This window comes from Homo sapiens, chromosome 12, assembly GCF_000001405.40.
Source record: "Homo sapiens chromosome 12, GRCh38.p14 Primary Assembly".
Lineage (NCBI taxonomy): Eukaryota > Metazoa > Chordata > Mammalia > Primates > Hominidae > Homo > Homo sapiens.
The window spans coordinates 39268791-39278643 of NC_000012.12; the positions used below are offsets into that span (position 1 = coordinate 39268791).

A 9853-nucleotide genomic window follows, 5' to 3' on the forward strand; every position below is an offset into this window, starting at 1 on the left:
TATTGTATTTGTGTGCTAGCTATAGTGCTTAGCTATTTCTTGTGTACTATCTGCCTGCAAGTTTCATGAGCTTGGAGAACAATTTGTATTCCCAGGAACAAGCACAAGGCCTGGCATACCAAAGAAAAATATGTGTGTTTGTTGAAAGAATGAATAGGAGCCATTTGCAGATGACTCCCCAGTACATAACCCTAATCTGACTTCTTCTCTGAGCTATCGAATTCACCAAACTGGCTCTGAGGTTTTAATTTGAATTTCCCACAGATACTCAAACTCAATGTATGGAAAAAGAACTCCCAGTATTGGTTTGGAAGCCAGCATTGCCTCCTCATTTCCTGTTTCAGTGACCGAAAAGATCATTCACCTAGTCTTCCAAATCAGAAAAATAAATGTCACTCGAAACCCCGTTGTCTTCAGTATCTATATCCCAGTGGTACCAAATCTTGTCGATTCTTCTCCTAAATGCCCCTCAGCTTTATCCTTGTTGCCTTTCAGCTTCTCAATTTTTATTTCAAAAGCTTCAAATTACTCTTCTTGACTCTATCCTATCTCCTCCAATCTATTCCGCAAATTGTTTCCAAACTAATCCTTCCAAAAAACAAAACTGACCCCATCGGTCACCCTTTTAAGATCTCATATGGTCCCTTTCATCTCCCATGGGGATTGGAAAGCAATGCAGTCTATGTTTACTTTGGCCCATACATTTGTTAAGTAAATTTGAATTTGTTTCCAACATTGAAATTTGGAATATTTTGTGCATAAACGCATATTTCTAGCTCCACCTAAAAAACCCAAAGTTCTGGTGACACTGGACACAAATTTCCACATAGCAACAAGATGGAGCTGAATACCACCTACTTCCACCACCTAGTTCCTGTGGACTGGGACTGTCTGGAGCCGCATTTTATGACACGCCACCCAGCTCGCATTTCATTTGGGCTATATGACTGGATCCACTTGCCTGGAGGGAAAGCTGCAAACACCAAAACATGGCATATCAAGCCTTCTGCACGTGCTTCTGCCAGGCAGCCTTTTTGGAATCCTGCCCTTCTACACAGCCCCTCACTTTCCAATACCCATTCCCCTCTGGCCTCACACAGTATACTTTAGTCAGGTCAAAATATTCGCACTTTCCCAATCACACCACAATCTCCAGTTTTCCTCCAGTTACACATGCTATTCCCTCTATCAGGAATGCCCTCGAGCCGCTTTAAACTCCCCTTCATGCATCCAAGGAGAGACAGATCTTGATGGGCCTACAGGCTCAATTCCTCCCTTTTGGGAAGACTAGCAGAGAGCTGGCTCAGCAGGTGTCTTGACAACCCTCAGCGAAACGGGGGTTCTAGTAGCAGAGCATCTAGCAATCCTGCCCTAACAAGAAATGATGGGTAGCTAGATATGGGTATTTACAGTGTGCCTTCCACAGGGATACTTCTTTTACCTGGTGGATGGCCTAACGCCTAGTTGTCCAACCCATGACCAGGGGGTTCCTTCCCATGGGAAACTTAGTTATAATAGCAGACACCCTTTTGGGTCTTGTCTGACCCCTGCCTGACCATGGCTCAGGCTGAGCCCAACCCTGTGTCTCCCCCATCCACACCCCATCCCTCATCCCAGAGAAAAGCTAGCTGGGGCAGTCCCTCATTCTTCAGATGGAAGGTGCAAATTTAATACACCACCCCAAAAGGAGACGAGTTGAACGATTTCGCTTACGGATCCTGGGTGAAGAGAACATAGTGAGTCTGGAGGGCAGTTCTCTTTCTCCAGTTCATGTGAGGCAGGAATGAAGTCAGGCAAAGAGAGTGAGTGAGTGAGTGAGTGAGAGAGAGAGAGAGAGAAAGAGAGAGAGGCAGCATATATAAAGGAAATATAAGGGAATAGATTGTGAGTCACTGTGAGTTAATGGGAAAATACCTAAATGGGCCATTTAAATGGCAGGAAAGTTGGGAGCTCCATCTGCTAGGCAAGAGAGATACCTCAAATTTCTTATCTCTGGCCACCCTTCTGGAGCCATGTGTGTTTGGTGTAAACTGGAAATGGTGTCAAGGGTGACAGACCCCTGCTTCTGATATGATAAAGTTAAATTAATATTCAAAATGGATGCAACGACAACATAAAATTATAAGAAGTCTCTATAGCAAGTCAGAGTTAGCTCAAAACAAATGGAACAAATGGGATGACACCAACAGCTAGGCTTTGGAGTTTCCCCCTTTCTAACAATGTCATTTCCCCACTCATTGTTATATAGTCACAGGTATATCCTTCATTTCTCTGATCCTATAAATATGTAGAGAGTTACATATCCTGTAAATATGTAGGGCCCCTTTCAACTAAAACATTGACAATTGTGTACCCAGCCTAAAATTGGCTTAAGCTGTAGAACTATGAGAAAGTAGGGGATTGCATTGCTCTATTAATTTTCTGCTTGTAACTCTTCCCCCAATATACCCTTTAAACATCTGCTCCATGCAGTGCTAGAGTGTATGTCATGCCTTCAATTTCCTGTCTAAGCCTTCCTTGGTTTATAGAGCCTTTCCTGACTTCCCCAGCAAGACTCAGATCTTTGTTCCTCCCCCAACTTCAGCACCTTGCTCATTCCCTTAGAGTTAGCCCAACACATAAAGGATTTATCAACTCTATTATAATTCCTCCTGTGAGTTTATATTTTATTCATCTTTCTAACACCACACCAGGTACAAAGTAAAAGCTCAATAAATGTTCACATGAATTAGCTGAATAATATCAATGGGGTCATTCAGGTAGCTTCTTATGGTAGTTATTCATGAGACAAAGCAGTACATCTTCCCATCTAATTCAATAAGATCTGAAATAAATAACATTAAGTTTCATTTTTCTGCCTTCCTTAGAATATTTTTTTGTATTATTTTTTTATATAACAATTTTATGGAATGGTTTTGAAAACTAATTTCAATAAGATGTCCATAAGGTGCTTACCATAGTGCTTAGCAACATGTGAGTATTCGGGAAAAGGTCAGTGTACAAGGGAAGCATCATTTGCCATGGTTGAAAACAAAGGTTTTGGAATTAAACAAGATTTCAATCCTGTAGCCAAAATAGCATGTCACACAGCATAGGTACTGAATAAGTATCTGTTGAATGAATGAATAAATTCATAAGTGAATGAGAAATCCTGGCCCTGCCCATTATTCCTAGGTTGTCTCCAAGCCCTTGAAATTGCAGCTCTCTCCACCTAAAACAATCTTCCCCAGATATTTGCCTAGTTCTGTCACTTCTCTAGGTCTCTGTTCAAATGTTCTCTTATTGAGAGGCCTTCTCTGAAGTACCCAGATGAAAGGGAACCCTGGCACTTTCTTTTCCCCTTATCCTACCTTCCCTCTTCAATATATGATCATCTGTAATGCTACACAGTTAGTTGTCTTTTGGCTGCAACATTAGCTCAAGAGAGCAGAAATTTGCTTTGTTTGCTTCTGCACATTCACCCAGAAAAATGTCTGGGTGAATGAATCTTGAAGAATCTTGGCCTATTGCCTCTTCCTCATTTGTAAAATAATGGGGTAGAAATGATACGCTAATGCCTTCCTAGATGAAACCTTATATGATCCCTTTCTCCCAATTTTTTGCCCACTGTATACACTAATAAACCTCCTTCTTTGATAAATACCTTCAAATTCTGTGCTGCCAGGTAAAATTGGTCATGCTGAAAACCTTTTTTTTTGTCCACGGTTGTTTGGCACTGTCTAGATGGCAGCTAAGTGGTAATGAATCTGTATTTCTATAAAATTTAGAATGTTATAGTTGTGATGGATCCAAAAGCTCGCCTGGATCAACTGACTCATTTTACAGATACGAACTTTTAAGACCAGAGGGGCCAAGTGATTTAGTCAAGATTCCTCAAAGTTAGTGCCAGACCCTCCAGATTGGAGGGTCCTAATCAGCACCTATTACAGTAAGCCATGGTTCTACTGTAATTAAAAGGTGGGCACCAGGATTCAAATACCTTCTAACCCTGAGTCCATTCCTTTTTCTACCATAAAGCCCTGCTCCTCCAGTCCTGCTAAGAGCCATGCGCATTAAACTTACCCAGTGGAAACACAGTTATATTCTTCCAGCAGCCAAATCTCTTCTGACAAGCTAAGGTGGAATTAGCGACAAGAAGGCAGAGCTTGAACTCATTAAGGGTCTGAGCTCTTCAGAAGCAATACTCTATCCCTTGTCATCTGTTCTGCAGAATTTGCTCCTGTGGTTTCATGGGGCACATAATTCTTGGCAAATCAAATTCCTTGAACCTCCTAAGGCTGCTGGACAGGAGCTTCAAGAATTATGAGTTTTCAGAGTCTGAAGATAGCTATTCAATTTAACCAACTGTAGCAACTGATTTAATTAAGTAGTCACTCTGGTTTAAGGCTCTGCACTTCTTCAGATGCTATTTAACGATTCTGTCTTCCGCTTGAATTTGACTCCAAATCCACCCTAATATCCATAGGCAGTTAGAATTAATCAGTGCTTCCCACTCAAACCCACTCCAAGTCCAAAAAAAAAAAAAGAATGATTAATTTGTCTAGCTGCAGTCACCAACGTTGTAGAGGACATCACTGCCCCCTGGTGGAAATACTAAAAACTGTTCTGGGACTGTTCCCAGAAAGATCAAAATCTATACAGAAAAAACTAACTTGTTAGTAATCTGCACATTGAAAGGTCATGACGTCCCAGTGACCATGTTATTATCCTACTCTCTTTTCCCCTCCTTAATTTCTCAATTCGTAGCTCAAGTTGCTTCAGGCATCTACAACGCATCATCAGATGGTCTCCCAGTGACACTGGAATACGAAATTTCCTCAGTGGATGTGCATTACCAAAACACCAGTGACCACTTCAGGACAAATCAAAAGGTTGTCTTCATGTAGCATAACGTTGTCTAAATTTAGGAGAGCTTTAGTTCATGCAGCTACTGAAAAATCTGGCTTCTGTGCATACTTGGCAAATTTGCAAATCACCTCTTAATTCTTCCCCAGTTTTTTTTTTTTTTTTTTTTTTGTGGGTGGAGGAGGATTTCCCCAAATTTAGGGAAAAAAAAGCCTAGGTTTTTTTTTTTCTGTTGAAAAAATGGAATGAATGAGGTGAGTGAGCCTCAGGGCCTTTTATTTTCCCCTGCCAGTGTAAGACAGAGAAAACAGTGTAGGAGCTGCTGTCATAAAAAAAAGCCTTCCCCAATGACTCCTGTTTACTCTTTGGAACTCCAAGAGTTTATTTTCTAAACCATGGATGCTAATCCTGGATGCTCATCAAGATCATCTGAAAAGTTTGCCATTTTGTTCTTACTGCTATTGTGTTATATTATTGTTTGATACAGATTCATAATTACTGAATTGTTATTTCAGAGAATGGGGAACCAAATTGTTTTCATGAATGAATGAAGTCTCTAAGTAAACCCTAATCTTCTTAGAACAATATTTCCTTCATAACTGACTTTATACAAATTAATTCTTTTCTCTTTCCCAATTGCCACCACTTTCATTCATACACCAGCATCATCCATGAGCTATTGCAATGGGCATAATATATTATGGCACACAGGAGATTGTCTTCCCATCCATCCTCAACACCACTTTCAGAATCATATTTTTAGACACCAGATAGATCCTATTATTTCCCTAAATAAAAGCTTTCAGTGGCTCTTCATTAAACATAAGATAAAATTCATATTCCTTAGCATGACATACAAAAGCTATGTTTCAATACCTACAACTAATATATCAATCAAAAAACGTTTTTTAAGTCTATGCTTCGGCCATGACCAAAAACTTATAGTTCCCCCAAATATGCCATACCATTTCAAGCCTCTTAACCTTTGCCTAAAGCCCTGCTTAGACTGCTTTTTCCCCATGTCTACCCATTTCTACCCATTTCTGCAGGACATTTATTTTTCCAGACTCGCAATTTCCCTCTTTTTAAAGCACTTTCCTAACCTCTTTCTTCTTCCCATGTAGAACTGACCATAGTACTTATAACACTTGACTGTACTCGCTAGTCCACCTCCCTCTGATAATTAGAATGGCCATAAGGGTGAGAGAATTATGCCTGAATGATTTTTGTATCTAGAAAAAATTACTGTTGAATGAATGAGTGAAGGAATGAATAAAAATGCCCAACACATACGCAAGTGCATATTTGACTCAGTTTACATTTCTCCATTGCCAAACTGATGGGAAAAAAAGTGTAAACTCATATGATTGAGCAGACATGATTAAAAACTTAGCACCCAAGAGCCCTTCCTCAGGCAGAAGGTGAAATGAGTAGCTTCATCTGACAGGTCACAATAGCCCCACCCACAGCTGGGAGAAATCAGCTCACATTGAAGGAGCTAGGTCCTGGGGTAGCCACTGCCCCTTTCCCCTGGATTCTGTAAGAGCTTGATTCGCCCGTACTATAATGTATATTTAATTATATTACTTAATAAATCGTCAGCATTTACTTTACTTGAATCATGATTTTACTTGCATGAGTACATCAACTTGATATGTAAGCCTATACTTCTCTAATACGAAATAGTTAAGAATCAAAAAAAAAGTTTTTGAGCACTCAATTTAATATAAAACATTAATAATAAATAAACATTGCCCTTCCAGGTTTTTAAACCCATGGAAACATAATGCATCTATATTAACGTGAAACTTCATGCATGTATAATCATTATTAAATAAGTAGATTCAGTTTTCATCCTTTAGACAGTCTTTAGCAGTGTAGTATATGACAATAAATGAAAAGTGTATCAATCAAAGTTTCATAGTCCTCTCTCTGCATAAAGAAATATGAGGGAGGAAAATGAAAACTAAATAGATTGGCAGGCAGAAAATGCTGATACTGTCCTTCATCCACATTTGGAATAGTTCTCTGGTCTCTCTCTTCCTAAAATAACCTATGCAGTGAGTCAAATAATTTCTTTCTTCTTTGGTAAAACTAGACCTAAATTTCAGTTTACAAAGAAAGAAAAGTGAAAATAGGGAAGGAAGGAAAGAAAGATGCCCAACTGCCTGACTTTGAATTAATTGCAATCCTTTTAATAAAAAATAAATAAATAAATAATATTAAAAAAGCTGTTCCATCTTGACCACATCCTCTGTCAATCTGCAGAACTACCCAGTGAAGTAGGGTTGTTCATACAGCTACGGAGCTGAGACTCTAGGCCTCTACAGATCCATTGACTAATTGCCCTAAGGGCTCAGGTCAGACCTAATTTCCCCTAATTCCAGTGCTTTCCTCATTTCAAAAAAGCAATGTTTTATCTCTCATCTTTTTCGGTTAGTTTCTAGAGAATATTCTCAATTCCGACTTTATAATTGAGGAGATAATTGGAGGAGATAATTTAAGATTACCACTGCTTACAACTGTGCTGTCCAAGACAGTAGCCTCTAGCCATGTGTGGCTGCTGAGCACTTGAAATGTGGTTAGTGCAACTGAGGAATTTAGTTTCAGATTTTTTTAAATTTTAATTAAACTAAATTTAAGCTGTAACACAAACTCAGTTCCACCAATGGAAAACTTTTAAGTATGTTTGGATCAACTTGTGCATATGAATTTTTCCACTCTAAATTTTATGAACTCTAAATTCATTTAAAAATATATCTAATGAAAAGCTAACATCTGAATTGAGATGAGATATGCTGTCAGTATAAATACATGCTAGATTTAGAAGGCTTAGTACAAAAAAGAATGCAAAAAATCTCATGGATAATTTCTATGTTGATTACATGCTGAAATAATATTTTGGAAACATTGTGTTAAGTAAAATGTATTAAAATTGATTTTACCTATTTCGTTTTACCTTTTTCAATGTAGCTACTCAAAAATTTTTAATTTTTTATGTGACTCATATCATATTACTATTAGACAGTATTGGCTTAGAAGAAATCTCTATCAGTGAATGAGTTGAACCAGATCTCTCTCTCTTCACCTCCCTCCCTACCTGACCCCACCTAGCAAGTAACAGCCTAGGAGAGCTGGCCATTCAAGGATCTATCTGACTTCCATAATCAGCCTGTTTAGCTTTCTCATGCCTCAGTTTCCTCATTAGCATCAGATTTTCTTGAGGCATATTTACATATACAGTTAAGGTAATTATCTAAGTATCAGAGCTACAAGAGGAAAGGAAATAAGATGTCTAAATTAAAACAGCCAGCTCTGATAAAGGAAAAAAATAATAGGGTTTCAAAATTCAAAACCTAAAGGTATCTCTTGCTATATTTCCCCACAGATACAATAATGCAATGGCTACATCAGTTTTAGCAGCAGGACAAAACAGGTATTCTCAGATGTTAACATGAATAAGGTGTTTTCTGAAAGATTTTATGCAAAAAACCATATATATATATATGAGACTATAAAACCCTAAATTAATATGAGTTTAGCTTACATACAGAGGTGCCATTTTATCACTCTAGTAATCTTATGTCATAACCTTTGTTAAATAGCAAAATACTGGCATTCTTTATTTCCTTCAAAAACAAAAAGACTACAAAATAGGCATAATTGGTTGATGTCCCTATGGGTCTAATGGGTCTATTTTGGTTCCAATAAGAAGAAAAAATTGATAGGAATATATGTTTTCCTTTTAGTGCTGGCCAACTCTCAAAAGTACTGAATTTTACAAATGAATGTCAAGTACATTGTTTAAGCAATATTAATCAAATTATATAACTGATAATTCCTGGCATGTTGACATTTTGATGATTTCATAAATCAAGATTTTATTGCTTTAGATTCCAAATAGGTCCCTGTTGTGTAAGATGAGATTGTAAAGTAACAACCTGTTTTTAAATTGTGGTTTAGTGAGAGTATTCTCACTTATGCAAAATGGTACAGATATTGCATCATTTTGTGCTCATATCCTTATTGGTCTGACTTACAGTAGGAAATCCAGGAAGAAAAGGTGGTATCAGTTCAGCACCCATGGGTATGGAGATGACTTGCGCCTGGTTTTCTAAGGCCCTAAGCCAGAGAGCTGTGGTTCCTCATTTCCCCAGATACATCACCAGCAATTTCTCTGTTGAGGTTTCTTCTCCCAGTTGGTCTGATCACCTGTCCTTGGCTCAAATCACAGTATCCTAAGAGAGTTAGGGTTAAATAATGTTTGACCTTGATCCACTGTAAGATATATATTTTACATATCAATTCTACCCAGATACAGATACACGTACATAAAGCACATGCTTCACCCCTGCCTCAAAAAAATTACCCTTAATCAGAAAGATGCTGTTTGATATTTTCTATACTATTATATAATATCAAATGTTCTACTATATATAGAGAAATAGGGGCTTCTGGCTTTCAATACAGCATGTCAGGAGAAAATGAACAGCTCTTCTTAGATCTGTCAGAGAAATGAGGTCGCAGGACAAACTGATGCCTCCAAAACTGGAGAAACAACAGGAGAATACAGAGAATTACAACTTACTAAAGCAGAAACTCACGGGCAGAAACCTCCTTGAGAACCAGTGGTAAAGTAGAAAAACCAAAGCCGTAATTGGTGAATATCTGGAGGCTAGGTGTGGACAAGTCAGAGAGCTAAGAACTCCAAGAGGGCCCAGTCTCAGGGACTCATACTTTTGTGAATTTTACCTCCCAGAGCTCTACCAGGTTCTCGCAGTAAGACCAGAGAAAGATCTCAGGCTTCCAACAGTGGGAGAAGAAAAGCAGCCATTTTGAAACACTCCAGAGCATTCTATTCTTCTTAACAAGGCTTGCCCTCAAGAGATACCAGAGCCTATTGAGGTTTTATCAGACTCAACTGACCTTAGGAAAGGGAAATACCCAACTCCCACCCACTGGTGCATTTCATGTGGAGGAAGAGAAATACCCAATTCCAGCTTCCTCT

General features: G+C 38.5%; 2 annotated features.

The window, feature by feature from the left end:
* Positions 8409-9608: an enhancer, noted in NCBI's record as "MED14-independent group 3 enhancer chr12:39671001-39672200 (GRCh37/hg19 assembly coordinates)". NCBI's record gives its function as "activates an origin of replication core promoter dependent on BRD2, BRD4, P300/CBP and CDK7 cofactors, and independent of MED14, by STARR-seq in HCT116 cells {active_cell/tissue: HCT116}" and the evidence as "EXISTENCE:reporter gene assay evidence [ECO:0000049][PMID:35650434]".
* Positions 8885-8974: a silencer, noted in NCBI's record as "silent region_4347". NCBI's record gives its function as "represses an Ori minimal core promoter by ATAC-STARR-seq in GM12878 lymphoblastoid cells {active_cell/tissue: GM12878}" and the evidence as "EXISTENCE:reporter gene assay evidence [ECO:0000049][PMID:35858748]".